Here is a 14,865-nt window from a genome sequence, read left to right as displayed (position 1 = left end):
GAAACAAAGACATCTCTTTCTTTCTTTTTCTTTTTTTTTTTTTTAGACGGAGTCTCACCCTGTCACCCAGGCTGGAGTGCAATGGCACGATCTCAGATCACTGCAACCTCTGCCTCCTGGGTTCAAGCGATTCTCCTGCCCCAGCCTCCCAAGTAGCTGGGATTACAGGTGTGCGCCACCACGCCCAGCTAATTTTTTGTATCTTTAGTAGAGACAGGGTTTCACCATGTTGGCCATGCTGGTCTCAAACTCCTGACCTCGTGAGCCGCCCGCCTCTGCCTCCCAAAGTGCTGGGATTACAGGTGTGAGCCAGCACACTGGCTTCTTTTCTTTTCTTCTCTCTCTCTTTCTCTTTTGTCTCTTTTTTTTTTTTTTAGACGGAGTCTCGCTCTGTCGCCCAAGCTGGAGTGCAGGGGCGCGATCTCAGGTCACTGCAACCTCCGTCTCCTGGGTTTGAGGGATTCTCCTGCCTCAGCCTCTGAAGTAGCTGTGATTACAGACGTGCGCTACTGCGCCCAGCTAATTTTTGTATTTTTAGTAGAGACAGGGTTTCACCATTTTCCCCAGAGTGGAAAGAAATTTTTAAACAAACAAATATCTAGAAAAAAATTAATCTGTCGTCGGCCTACACTAAACAAACAGGAAAACTTAAACTGAGCTCTTCAGACAGAAGAAAAATGATTCCAAAGAGAAAAATGGAAATCCAGGAAGAAAAGAGTAAGGATGGAAAGAGTACATTTGTGGATGTATATACAAAAAAATATTGACTGCATAAAACAATAATTAAAAAAAAAGAAAAAAGGAAAAAAAGAAAATAAGTTCCCTGGGATCCCAGAATTAGGTTTGACCTTCCCGGTCCCTCTCTCGCGAGATCTGGAAACCGGAAGTGAATTATTTTGCAGGAGTCTACACCCAGGCGGTGGCTATACTTATTAAAGTTGGCGGGAGCTGAGCGATCAGTCGGTCCTGGGCTGGCTGTGGTGTAGGGCGTTGCAGGCAGCGCTCACCTCCTCAGGCCGGCAGAATGCGGGTGGCTGTGGCTGGCTGCTGCCACGGCGAGCTGGATAAGATCTATGAGACGCTGGCGCTGGCAGAGCGGCGCGGCCCGGGGCCTGTCGACCTCTTGCTGTGCTGCGGCGACTTCCAGGCGGTGCGCAACGAGGCGGATCTACGCTGCATGGCCGTGCCGCCCAAGTATCGTCACATGCAAACCTTCTACAGGTGAGGACGCGGCCGGGCCCGGACTTGGCGGTGGGGGGGTGGGACTGGGTTCCCTCTGCCACTGGCTGCCTGTTTCCCTTAGATCCTGTCTTTGTTCTCTCTGTATCTCTAATTGGTGCCTAACTGAATACAGGGGTGAGGTAGTGGGAGGCGGGAAATGTATTCAGTTCGGTACTGTATTCAGTTAGGTACCAAATTATGTCAGTTTCACTAGCACCCTATCTCATTAGGTGCTTAGGAAATGTCACTTTCCTTCTTTCCATACACATCTTATCCATTTCAAAGGGTGTCGAAGCCTGGGAGGGGATAACCTGGAGGAAGAAGCTGACAGGTTTAGATAGCTACCTTGTACTTGATAGGACTCTGGAATTAGTTCATTCAATGATCCTGAAGTTTTTACTGGGCCCCTGCTATGTGCTTGTTGTGGTTCTAGAAGATGAGGTTATGGCAATGAACTCGAAACAGTTCTTGACTTAATTGAACGGGCACTGACTTGAGGCTCAAGGTGGAAGCTCTTCATTCCTAAGGGCAAGGATGGATACTGGGCAATTCCTTTTTTTTTTTTTTTTTTTTTTCTTGAGACAGAGTTTCGCTTTGTTGCCCAGGCTGGAGTGCAGTACCGCGATATTGACCCACTGCAACCTCCGTCTCCTGGGTTCAAGCGATTCTCCCACCTCAGCCTCCCGAGTAGCTGGGATTACACCCAGCTAATTTTTGCATTTTTAGTAGAGACGGGGTTTCACCACATTGGCCAGGTTGGTCTCGAACTCCTGACCTCAGGGGATCCGCCTGTGTCGGCCATCAAAAGTGCTGGGATTACAGGAGGGAGCCACCGCGCCCAGCCCCAGGCAATTCCTTTTGAAAGAGCTTTTTAACTTTTTATGATGAACTCAGTTTCTTTTTTTTTTTCGGAACTTATTTGCTTTTCTGCTATGCCTAATTGTGGTAACTGACTTTGCTCTTATGTTCTAGGTATTACTCTGGAGAGAAAAAGGCTCCAGTTCTCACGCTCTTCATTGGGGGAAACCATGAAGCCTCAAATCATTTGCAAGAGTTACCCTATGGTGGCTGGGTGGCACCAAACATTTATTATTTAGGTATGTGATTGTGTTTGTGGATACTTTTTTTTCCTGGGATGGAAGAGCTTATCAGGATTTGCGTTAGTTGGACTGTGTCTTGACATGTATGGTGTTTGGAGAATGTCATTAATTTAAATACTTAATCGTGAAAATTTAATTAAGATAGTTAATTATTAAATGGTTGATCATGAAAATATGCCCTTCATCTAGTGTTTTAAGCACTAGCTAATATAATTGCAAAGACCTCACACACTATTTGTAGTCCCTTCATTTTTTCTTACAATTTTTATTGAATTAAAGACCTTAAACTTTTATTAATAGAAATTCTTAAGCATACACAAAAGTAGAGAATAGTATGATGAATCTCAGTACCTGTTAACCAGCTTCAACGACTATTATATTGCAATCTCCTGGATTTTTTTTTTTTTTTTTGTGGGAAGAGATGACTAGAGTATTTAAAGCAAGTCCAACCGTTAGATTATTTCACTTATACATATTTCAGTACATGTTTTTAAGTGATAAGGATCTTTAAAAATACTACTACAGTACTGTTATTATACTTAACTGAAGTAATCATTATCTATTGCCATGTTCGTGGTCAGATTTCCCTGCTTAATGTAAAGATGTCTGCTTTACAATTGGTTTAAATAGGACCCAGACAAGGCCAGCCCATTTCATTTGGTTGTCATGACTCTGAAGTCTATTAGACTAAAATAGTCTCCCTGTCTCGCTTTTTCATGCCATTTACTTGCTGAAGAAAACAGGAAATTTGTCTTGCAGCATTTCCTGCATTCAGGATTTAGCTGATTGGATTCCTTTTATCCTTTGCATTTCCTATAATCTGCTTTTAGATTTTCAGATTTGATTAGATTGTCTCAATATTGGCCCCTATAAACTATATAGCCTTTTCATCCCTTTATTTTTCGAGACAAGGTCTGGTTCTGTTGCCCAGGCTGGAGTGCAGTGGCCTGATCTCAGCTCATTGCAACCTTCGCCTTCCAGGCTCAAGCCATCCTCCCACCACAGCCTCCCAAGTAGCTGTGACTGCAAGCGTGTACCACCACGCCCGGCTAATTTTTTTGTTTTTTTGTATTTTTTTGTGGAGACTGAGTTTGGCCATGTTGTCCAGGCTGGTCTCGAACTCATGAGCTCAAAGTGATCCGCCCACCTGGGCCTCCAAAGTGGTGGGATTACAGGGATGAGCCACCGCACCCAGCTTCATCCCTTTATTTAAATGTATATTCTTTCTAGAACAGTTTATAGATTTTACCAATGATGAGATCATATTTCAGAAATTTAGTTTCCCTACTTTGCTACTTACTGATCATCTTTTGATGTATTCATCCTATATTACAATATTGTGAAGAAGTGAAATTGTCAGAAGATGATCAATCAGAAATGAAACTAGAAGCTGTAGGTTCTTTATACCTTATACCTGTTGATTTTCAGGTTTATACATGTAAATCCATCATAGGACATTTTCCACCTCCCACTACCTCACCCGTGTATTCAGTTAGGTACCAAATTATGTCTGTTTCACTTTCAGTACCCTATCTCATTTGTCCCTTCCAGAATCTACTTAGTGTTTTGGCTCATCTAATTCCAGACCTTACCTTTATATACTGTTATAATATATCCCTAATACACTGTTGGCATATTATTATGTAAAAAGCATAACCTCATCATGGTGCTTAATTTTCAAATAATTTTAGAACTGTGTGGAATTCCATCTAAATGGAATGGTTTATTCAGTCGGTGTAGAGATTCCTTTTGCCTACAGTAATTTTATTTAACTGTATTGTTTAGGTTTGGCTGGTGTGGTAAAATACCGAGGTGTAAGGATCGGTGGAATCTCTGGTATCTTTAAATCTCATGACTATCGAAAAGGTATTGTTTTGAGAATTATTTTTAAACTTTAGAACTTGCATGCCCCAGAGTAAGTTAAGCATGATATGTACTTTGACTCTTTCATATATCTTTGTATCCTCGATATAGTTTTATCAAGTCTTAGTATTTTGCTTTTTTTTTTTTTTTTTTTTTTTTTGAGACAGAGTTTCGTTCTTGGTGTCCATGATGGAGTGCAGTGGTGCGATCTCGGCTCACTACAACCTCCACCTCCCAGGTTCAAGCCATTCTCCTGCCTCAGCCTCCTGAGTAGCTGGGATTACAGGCGCCCACCACCACGCCCGGCTAATTTTTTTGTATTTTTAGTAGAGACGGGGTTTCACCATGTTGGTCAGGCTAGTCTCGAATACCTGACCTCAAGTGATCCCACCCACCTCTGCCTCCCAAAGTGCTGGGATTACAGGCGTAAGCTACCACGCCCGGCCTGTATTTTGCTATTTTTTTATTTTTATTTTTAAGAAATAAAACAGTATAGATACAATTAAAGTTCATTGTTTATCTGTCCTCAATCCCGTTCCCTTCTTTTCTTCCCTCCCTGTCTTTGCCAGGCAGTCACTGTGTTGAATTTGGTGATTATAATTTACTTGATTATTTTACATCATTACCACATATGTAAGAACTTTAAACAATGTACTTGTTTTAAGCTTCATATAAATGTATCGTATTGCTTGTATCTTTCTCAAACTTGCTTCTTTGTTTAACATGCTTTGAAGTCTGTGTTGATACATGTAATCTAATCTGTTCATTTGTGAATAGTATTCCATTATATAAGTATATCACAACTGCATATTAATTTCATTGTGTCTGAATGAATTATACTTTGATTTCAAAGTTAAAGGAATAGCTTGGATTCACATCGATTTCACAAATTTCATGAATTACATTGACAGCTAAAACTTACATCCTGAATGTAACTGTTACAAGTCTGTTCCCTGCCACTTGGCTCTTTCTTATTCTAAACTGTTGGAATGGAGGTACAAAATAGGCTGTCTTCTCTGTGGCAGGTGTGGGTACAAATTGGAACCACTTTTGGGAAGCTGTTTATCAGGTTTTTCTATTTTATCTCAGGGATATCATTTATGCATATAATACACATATTTCTTTTTCGGCTTAAAACAACAATAATTTGTTATTTTATTAATATTGGGAGCATAAGGAACTAGTCTCTAGTCAACAGTTAGAAAGTAACTGAAGTGTGCCAGCAACCATGTGTGGGACCTTAGAAAGCAGATACACCCTTATTTGAGCCTGCAAAGGAAGGAGACTGCAGTCCACCATCTTTTTAAAAAATTTCCCTAGATAACTTTTTAAAATCGTATATATTGAAGGTGTACATGATATTTTGGAGACCTGTGTATATGTCTTTGTATTTGCAGTATTTAAGGAAATTAAATATAGCTTATTTTTCTGCTTCAATCTAAGGTCATTTTGAGTGCCCCCCTTATAATTCATCTACAATCAGGAGTATATATCATGTGAGAAATATTGAAGTCTATAAATTAAAACAGGTACGTAAAAAGCGCATTACAGCAGACTTGAAAACATTTTAAAGTAATTCTGTGCCAAAATGTATTTTGGTCATATTGGTATACTACTTTCAAGAAGAGCAATTCTGTATTTTTAAAATGTGGATCTTGAGTTTTTAGGAGGTTCACAGATGAACCTTTTTTTTTTCTTTTTTTGAGACAGAGTCTCACTATGTCACCCAGGCTGAAGTGCAGTGGCGCGATCTCGGCTCACTGCAACCTCCGCCTCCTGGGTTCAAGCAAGTCTTGTGCCTCAACCTTCTGAGTAGCTGGAACTATGGGCGCACACCACCACACCTGCCTAATTTTTTGTATTTGTAGTAGGGATGGGGTTTCACCATGTTTGCCAGGCTGGTCTCAAATTCCTGACCTCAGGTGATCCGCCTGCCTTGGCCTCCCAAAGTGCTGGGATTATAGGTGTGAGCCACTGTGCCCGGCAAAATTTTTTTTACTTCAATAATTACGAGTTTATTTTAGTAAGAATGAAAGATTTAATTCATGATTTCAAATATTACTTAGGTTAAGGCTAAAGAATACCTATTAAAGTGATATTTAAAATAAAATGTTAAAGTGATATTTTAAAGAAAATATTGAAATAAACATTTTATTTTATGTAATAGTAATTAAGTAATGGTATTAAATAGAAAATAAGTAATAGTAAAGATGATAGAGGAAATGGGAAAATTGTGAAGGTGGTATGGAAACACTGCTTAATTGCAGAGTAGGTGAAACTAGGTTGTTTGAGAACCCATTACATGGCTGACACTGGGCTAAACAGACTTCACACTTGGTATTTCATATAATCTCCACTCAAACCCTATGAAATAGATGTAACTCTTAACTTCATCCCTTTAAGGATGAGAAGCCAAGGCTCAGACAGGTAAGTAACCTGCCCAGGACTTCCCAAAGTTTAGTGGTAGAGCCTGCCTGACTGCACTCATGCCCATCACACTGTCTCTAGAGCCTCTGCAGGAGTCTAACAATTCTTGCAAGTGTTTCTTTTATGCCCTGTGCATACAGTTCCCTTAAATAGATTTTCTCTTTCACCTATCTAAATCCTACCAGTCCTTTAAGACCCAACTTAGATGCCATTTCCCAACCATGAGTTTTCTTCTTTTTTTTTTTTGAGACAAGGTCTCACTCTGTCACCCAGGCTGGAGTGCAGTAGTATGATCATGGCTTGACTCACTGCAGCCTCAATCTGCCAGGCTTGGGTGATCCTCCCACTTCAGCCTCCCGAATAGCTTGGACTATAGGCATGCATCACCTCGCCCAGCTAATTTTTTTCATATTTTTTAGAGACAGAGTTTCGCCATGTTGCCCAGGCTGGTCTCAAACTCTTGAACTCAAGCGATCCTTCTGCCTTGGCCTCCGAAAGTGCTGGGATTACAGGCATGAGCCACCATGCCCAGCCAGCCATGACTTCTCTAGTTTAGAGTCATTACCCTAGTTTGAATTTTTGTTGCATCTGTTGGCCATACCAGTTATTCAGTGGTTAGTCATATCTATCTAATATCTAATATTTTGTATTGTCTTGAGCAGTTATTTAAGTTTTTTTTTTTTTTTTTGAGACAAAGTTTCACTTCTGTTGCCCAAGCTGGAGTGCAACAGTGCGATCTTGGCTCACTGCAACCTCTGCCTCCTGGGTTCAAGCGATTCTCCTGCCTCAGCCTCCTGAGTAGCTGGGATTACAGGCGCCCACCACCACGCCCGGCTAATTTTTTGTATTTTAAATAAAGATGGGGTTTCACCATGTTGGCCAGGCTGGTCTCGAACTCCTGACCTTCAGGCGATCCACCCACCTCGGCCTCCTAAAGTGCTGGGATTACAGGCGTGAGCCACTGTGCCCAGCCGGTATTTAAGTTGTTTTAATTTCATTTTTCAAGTATTCGTTTCAGATTACTTGAAGGTTCTGGGGATAAGTAAAGTCTGGAGTATATTTTGTTTCCTTAAGTTGTTTAATGAAATACTAATTTATGTAGTAAACACAGTTTTTTAGTGTATACTATGTGAGCCTATTAGAATTTTTTTTTTCCTGGTAAATCTTTGGGTTTACTGAATCAGTCATGTTAGAGGTCTCGTGAAATCTAGTGTCTCTGGATCTTCAAAACAGTAATTTCTTTTTTCTTTTTTTTCTTTTTGAGATGGAGTTTCACTCTTGTGGCCCAGGCTGGAGTGCAATTGCATGATCTCGGCTTATTGCAACCTCCACCTCCTGGGTTCAAGCGATTCTCCTGCCTCAGTCTCCCTAGTAGCTGGGATTACAGACAGATGCCACAACGTCCAGCTAAATTTTTGTATTTTTAGTAGAGATGGGGTTTCACCATGTTGGTGAGGCTCGTTTCGAACTCCTAACCTCAGGTGATCCACCTGCCTCAGCCTCCCAAAGTGCTGGGATTATAGGCGTGAGCCACCGCGCCCGGCCCAAAATAATAATTTCTTTACCAAAGAGGAAAAGAACTATGGTTATCGTGTATTTTAGAAGCTAAGTGCTAAAGATCTTAGATGACTGGCAGTCTAATCAGAGTCTGTCTCCATTGCCTTGCCTTGCCACTGAAAATAAGAATGATTTATGAGCAGAGAAAATGCAGCTTCTCTTTGCCTAGATGAATGAGTTGCCTAGTATTTTTATCACTCTCTTAAAGTGTCCTTAGAATGAATTATACAGAATTCTAGAGATCTCAGTGGGTGAATGGTTGTATGGTGGTAGAGAGAAGGGAGGGGATTGTTTTGGTTAATCTGTTTTAAGAGTTTTCTTTCTTTCTCTTTTTCTCTTTTGAAAGCTGAAGCAGCCTATAGATATATTCTTGTCTCATGATTGGCCAAGAAGTATATATCATTATGGAAATAAGAAGCAACTTCTTAAGACTAAATCTTTTTTCCGACAAGAAGTGGAAAATAACACATTAGGAAGTCCAGCTGCCTCAGAGCTTTTAGAGCATCTCAAACCTACTTATTGGTTTTCTGCCCACCTTCATGTGAAGTTTGCCGCCTTGATGCAGCATCAGGTAGAAAACAAAATGTTTATTCTTTCATTTAACACACACTATTGAACATCTATGGACCAGACACAGTTGTAAAGTTAGAGAAAGAAGTAAAAGATAACTTACCTCTTGTGAGTAGCTCAATATATGATTCTGGGAAAGACAAGCAATTACAAAACAGTATAATAAGTTTGAGAGAAAACGTAGGCAGTGGGAGCACCTAAGCCAGACTGTGGTGGGATGGGAACATGGGAGATGAAGATAGAGAAGGTTTTCAAAAGGTGATAGCTGAACTGAGTCTTGAAGTGCCAGGAAGAAACACATTGTAAGGGTATTTTATTTAGAGGGACTGGCATGTGCAGAGGCTCGAGGTCTGAGAGCATGGGGTGTTTGGGGACTTGTAGGTAGTTCCTGTGGGACTAAGGCATAGGGACTGATGAAGCTTGAACAAGATCATAACTGCCTTCTAGGGGCCATGCTCTGGAGTTATGATTTTAACCAAAGATGATGGGGAAATTTGGGGAGTGATGAAATCAGATTTTCATTTCAGAACGATTAGTTTGACAGCATTGTTGTGTATGGATTGGAGTAATGTAAAATGGGAGGCAGAGCAGGCTATTTATGTAAAAGAAAAGGTTTTAACCTAAGGCAAAGAGAGAATACAGAGAATGAAGCAGATTCTAGAGAGATTTTAGAAGGAGAATCATTGCGATTTGGTGACTGAGGGAGGAAAGAAGTCCAGGATGACCCCCAGTTTTCTTTGCTTAACTGCATGGATGATGTACTTGATGGAAGGTAGAAAATAAATATATACTTATAATGAAACTTCTATGGAAGTATGCATTTCTTCCTTTCACCTCTGATTCTGGCTGAACTCTGACTTTCCCATAAAGTAGTCCATAGGAAAACTGTGTAGAAAATGCTGGGTTAACAGAGTTACAGATTTCTTCTTGGAGACATGTAGAGAATTTCTGAGAGTCTTTATTGCACTAATGGGCATTGCCTTTCTCAAGAGTAGAATGTGACGCTTCCCAGACTTACTTAACCAAACACTTCTGTGTTAGAGGTATACTTTAAAAATGTTCCTCAAACACGGTTTGGAAGGTTTTGTCTGAAAATATACCTATACGCCCTTTCTGTTGTGGATTTATTCTTCTCACTTCCCAGTTTCACTGGGAGAAGGAGAGGTTACTCTTTTCATTGTATCTCTGCATTAATAATATGTTTGACCTCTTTGTAATTGTCTCCTCAACTTCCTCTGACTGCCACTTTCTATTTTATCCCCTTTACCAACACCAGAGATCACTTTTCCTTGGACTGCTTTGCTGCCAATATCTGCCTATAATCTCCATGCCTTCCATTTTTCTTTTTTTTTTGAGACAGAGTCTTGCTCTGTTGCCCAGGCTGGAGTGCAGTGGCGCGATCTCCACTCACTGCAAGCTCCACCTTCCGGGTTCACACCATTCTCCTGCCTCAGTGTCCAGAGTAGCTGGGACTACAGGCGCCCGCCACCACGCCTGGCTAATTTTTTCTATTTTTAGTAGAGACGGCGTTTCACTGTGTTAGCCAGGATGGTCTCGATCTCCTGATCTCGTGATCCACCCGCCTCGGCCTCCCAAAGTGCTGGGATTACAGGCATGAGCCACCGCGCCTGGCCATGCCTTCCATTTTTCTTAATACAGATTGAGCATCTCTAATCTGAAATCTGAAATGCTCTAGAATCTGAAATTTTTGACATGACACACAATTTTCAGATTTTTGGATTAAGGATATTAAACCAGTATGTATTCTGTAAATATTCCAAAATCTGAAAAAATCTGAAATTTAAAACACTTCTAGTCCCAAGCATTTTAGATAAGGCATACTCAACTTGTACCTCACCAGAACTGAACTGTTGCTTGGTCCTCAGCAGGAGATACCATAGTTTGCTTCCTTGTGTTTTTTCCTCCATGATGAAGCTGGAACAAGATCACAACTGCCTTTTAGAGGCCATGCTCTGGAGTTCAGGTTTTAACTAGAGATGCTGGGGAAAGTTTTTTTAACCTTTTCCAAAATGACCTACATGTTTGTGATTCTTTCCACGTTTCTTTCTGTCAATTCACTTTTGAAAAAAAAAAACCTTTATTGGAGTATAATTTACATAGCATAAAATTAATATGTTTTGGCATGGTGGCTCATGCCTGTAATCCCAGCACTTTGGGAGGCCAAGGCGGGTGGATCACTTGAGGCCAGGAGTTCGAGGCCAGTCTGGCCAACATGGCGAAACTCCATCTCTACTAAAAATACAAAAATTAGCTGGGCATGTTAGCACATGCTTGTAATCCCAGCTATTCGGGAGGCTGAGACATGAGAATCACTTGAGCCCGGGAGGCAGAGGTTGCCGTGAGTCAAGATCGTGCCACTGCACTCCAACCTGGACGACAGAGTAAGACTCTGTCTCAAAACAAAGAAAAGAAAAGAAAAAAACCACATTTTAAGTGAACAATTCAGTGATTTTTAGTAAATTTCCAGAGTTGTGCTAATATCACATCATCTAGTTTTAGAACTTGTCCATCACCCCCAAAGATCCTTTGTGCCTGCTTGAAGGCAATCCTTGTTCCTGCCCTCAGCCCCAGGGGAGCACTAACTTGCTTTGTGTTTCTATAGATTTGCCTTTCCTGAACATTCATTTAAATGGAATCGTAAAATATATAGTCTTTGGCAACTGATTTCTTTCGTTTGCTTGATTTTGAGATTCACTCATGTTGTAGCATGTATAAATATTGCATTCCTTTTTACTGCTGAGTAATAGTTCATTCTATGGATATATCACATCTATTTTTGGTGTTGTAGCTAAGAAATCTTTGCCTAACCCAGAGTTACAAAGATTTTCTCCTGTGGGTTCTTCTAAAAATTGTATAGTTTAAGTTCTGCCAGTTTACTTTTAAGCTCTTTTGTTTATCTTTAATCCTTGGGTTATATGCTTTGATTTATGTGTGTTCAATGCTTTGAGTTAACATCATCATCATCATTAGTTTTTGCCTTGAATTTTGTATGGAAATTGAAGGTCTGAGAAGTTAAATGCCTTCTCTTTTATCACACAAGTGGGTATAGAATTAACTTAATTTTGGAAAAGTAACAGTCATTCCTTTGACACACAACTTAGGGGTATGTGTGATAAAGATTATTTTCATCCTATTCCGTGTATGAAGAATTACCTGTGGTTGTTTTAACATTCTTTCTTAAATCATGATTCATATTGTCCAGGCAAAGGATAAAGGACAGACAGCCAGAGCAACCAAATTTTTAGCCTTGGACAAATGCTTACCACATAGAGATTTTCTTCAGGTAAGAAGAGTGAAGTGGCTTTATAATATAGTTGTACTCTTCCAGAGACTTAAAAAAATATAATTTTCCTTTCGGAATTTTTTTGTTCTGTTTGTAATTTATGTATTCTGAGAATTCTTTGGGGGTATCTTACTTATTAATTTAAAATTAAATGGATTGATTTAAAATTAAATAATTGAAATTAAATTTAAATTAAATTCCTTTTTATTTTATTAAATTATATTAAAGTGATTAGACTGTTACAAATATATATGTATTTCTTAACATTGATTTCATCCTGTAGATATTAGAGATAGAACATGACCCCAGTGCTCCTGATTACTTGGAATATGATATTGAATGGCTCACTATTCTCAGGGCTACGGATGATCTTATTAATGTGACTGGGCGCCTGTGGAATATGCCAGAAAATAATGGCCTGCATGCAAGGTAAGTCAGACTTTATTTAGGACCTGCTTTTTCCATTGCATGCATAATTTTTATATCTCCCACCTTTGTTTTGTTTTGTTTTGAAACAGGGTCTAGCTCTGTTATCCAAACTGGACTGCAGTGGTGTGATCTTGGATCTTGGCTCACTGCATCCTCTGCCTCCTGGGCTAAAGGGATCCTCCCACCTCTGCCCCCAGAGTAGCTGGGACCACAGGCATGCACCACCATGCCCAGCTAATTTTTTGGTATTTTTGGTAGAGATGGGGCTTTCCCATGTTGCCTAGGTTGGTCTTGAACTCCTGAGCTCAAGCTATCCACCTCCCTCGGCCTCCCAAAGTACTGGGATTACAGGCGTGAGCTGCTGTATCTGGCCTCCACCTTTGTTTTTAATCAAGGGAATTATTGTTGAATGAATGTCAGAACAATTCAAAGTTTGCAGGTTTTCCATCTAAAAGAGACAGGAAAATGGACTGTTGAGCATTACCTCAAATAAATTTATAAGTGAATAAGTGTACATAAAACCATGATATGGTGAAGATATAGTCCACACATTAAAATTGTTTTGGAGTATGAGTTAAAGATGGCTTTTTCTAAGAATTATTTTTTTTTCTAAATGGTCCTTTGCTAAATTAACTCTAACTTTAAAAATGGAATTTTGATAGATGGCTTATTTTTTATCCTTGCACCTGAAGTCTGTAATTAGATTTCATCATTTATTGTTTAGAGCTGATAAAATGTAAAAAGCTATTGTTTTGTACTTTTATAGGTGGGATTATAGTGCAACAGAAGAAGGTATGAAAGAAGTATTGGAAAAATTGAATCATGATCTCAAGGTTCCATGTAACTTTAGTGTAACAGCTGCTTGTTATGATCCTAGCAAGCCACAGACACAAATGCAGCTGATTCATAGGATCAATCCTCAGACAACTGAATTTTGTGCCCAACTTGGCATCATAGACATCAATGTTAGGCTTCAGAAGTCCAAGGAAGAACATCATGTGTGTGGTGAATATGAAGAACAGGATGATGTGGAGAGTAATGACTCTGGAGAAGACCAGAGTGAATATAATACAGACACATCTGCTCTGTCTTCTATTAATCCAGATGAAATAATGTTAGATGAAGAAGAAGATGAAGATAGTATTGTAAGTGCACATAGTGGCATGAATACACCATCGGTAGAACCTTCTGATCAAGCTTCTGAGTTTTCTGCAAGTTTCTCTGATGTCAGGATCTTGCCAGGCTCTATGATTGTATCTTCTGATGATACGGTGGATTCCACAATTGATAGAGAGGGGAAACCTGGTGGGACTGTGGAGTCAGGGAATGGAGAGGACTTAACCAAGGTGCCATTGAAGAGGCTGAGTGATGAACATGAACCTGAACAAAGAAAGAAAATTAAGAGGAGGAATCAAGCCATTTACGCTGCAGTGGATGATGATGATGACGATGCAGCTTAAGATGATTTACTTGTTTTGTTTTTGTGTTTGTTTTGTTTTTTTGAGATGGAGTTTCACTCTTGTCACCTAGACTGGAGTGCAATGGCGTGATCTCGGCTCACCGCAACCTCCGCCTCCCAGGTTCAAGCAATTCTCCTGCCTCAGCCTCCCAAGTAGGTGGGACTACAGGTGCCCGCCACCACACCCGGCTAATTTTTGCATTTTTAGTAATGACAGGGTTTCACCGTGTTGGCCAGGCTGGTCTCCAACTCCTGACCTCAGGCGATCCACCTGTCTTGGCCTTCTAAAGTGCTGGGATTACAGGCGTGAGCCACTGTGCCTGGCCGACAATTTACTTGTCTTAGTATTATATGTAGATATGTGATTTTTTGAGACTGTATTTTTAGAGCTGAATTTTTGACTAAAGACTTAACTTTATAATAATGAAGATACATTAGAGAATTTTAGTTAGATATTGACTTTATCTTTAGGCTTTTGTATGTTTCAGATGCAAACATATTAAAGTTTCATATATTTACTTGACTGGGTATCTTTTTTTTTGAAGACATACATTATTCACTTCCATTTTTACAATAAACACTTACTTAACATCTACTCTGTGCCAAGCACTCTGCTATAATATGGGACCATAAAGATGAGTAAGACAAGGATTTTTGCCTCCAAGGACTTGTTATCACTGTAAACATTTTGATGTATACAATATGGCTATATTATATTTTGTTTTATAAAATCAAGTCATTGTATATATTATGATGTATGCTTTCTTTTCATTTATTATAAATATTTTTCCTGATCAGCTTTTAATATCTGTCAAATAAAAATTGAAATTGAAGATGGTATATAAGATTTCAGGAAATAAACTACTCTGAATACTAAACATTGGTAAACGTACAATCTTAATTTGCTGAGATTAGTATAACCCTGCTGACTTTTG

General features: G+C 39.7%; 1 protein-coding gene across 1 annotated transcript, besides 1 other annotated feature; it reads left to right on the top strand.

Annotated features, from left to right (window-relative positions):
- On the top strand, positions 899–14,832 carry DBR1 (debranching RNA lariats 1). The gene is made up of 8 exons (NM_016216.4): positions 899–1,221; positions 2,194–2,318; positions 4,107–4,187; positions 5,628–5,713; positions 8,515–8,739; positions 11,962–12,042; positions 12,326–12,471; positions 13,238–14,832. The coding sequence occupies exons 1-8, from the start codon at positions 1,025–1,027 to the stop codon at positions 13,929–13,931; spliced, it is 1,635 nt and encodes a 544-aa protein (NP_057300.2). The 5' UTR covers positions 899–1,024; the 3' UTR covers positions 13,932–14,832.
- Positions 984–1,193: an enhancer, noted in NCBI's record as "active region_20601". NCBI's record gives its function as "activates an Ori minimal core promoter by ATAC-STARR-seq in GM12878 lymphoblastoid cells {active_cell/tissue: GM12878}" and the evidence as "EXISTENCE:reporter gene assay evidence [ECO:0000049][PMID:35858748]".

The sequence above is a fragment of the Homo sapiens genome, chromosome 3 (genome assembly GCF_000001405.40).
Source record: "Homo sapiens chromosome 3, GRCh38.p14 Primary Assembly".
NCBI lineage: Eukaryota > Metazoa > Chordata > Mammalia > Primates > Hominidae > Homo > Homo sapiens.
Note: the sequence above shows the minus strand (reverse complement) of the source record. Positions and strands in the feature narration are given on the sequence as shown.

Coding starts and splice junctions, on each gene's coding strand:
- DBR1 (NM_016216.4), top strand. CDS start 1,025: ATGCGGGTGGCTGTGGCTGGCTGCTGCCACGGCGAGCTGGATAAGATC. Junction 2,319..4,106: donor ACCAAACATTTATTATTTAG/GTATGTGATTGT, acceptor TGTATTGTTTAG/GTTTGGCTGGTGTGGTAAAA. Junction 8,740..11,961: donor CCGCCTTGATGCAGCATCAG/GTAGAAAACAAA, acceptor CATATTGTCCAG/GCAAAGGATAAAGGACAGAC.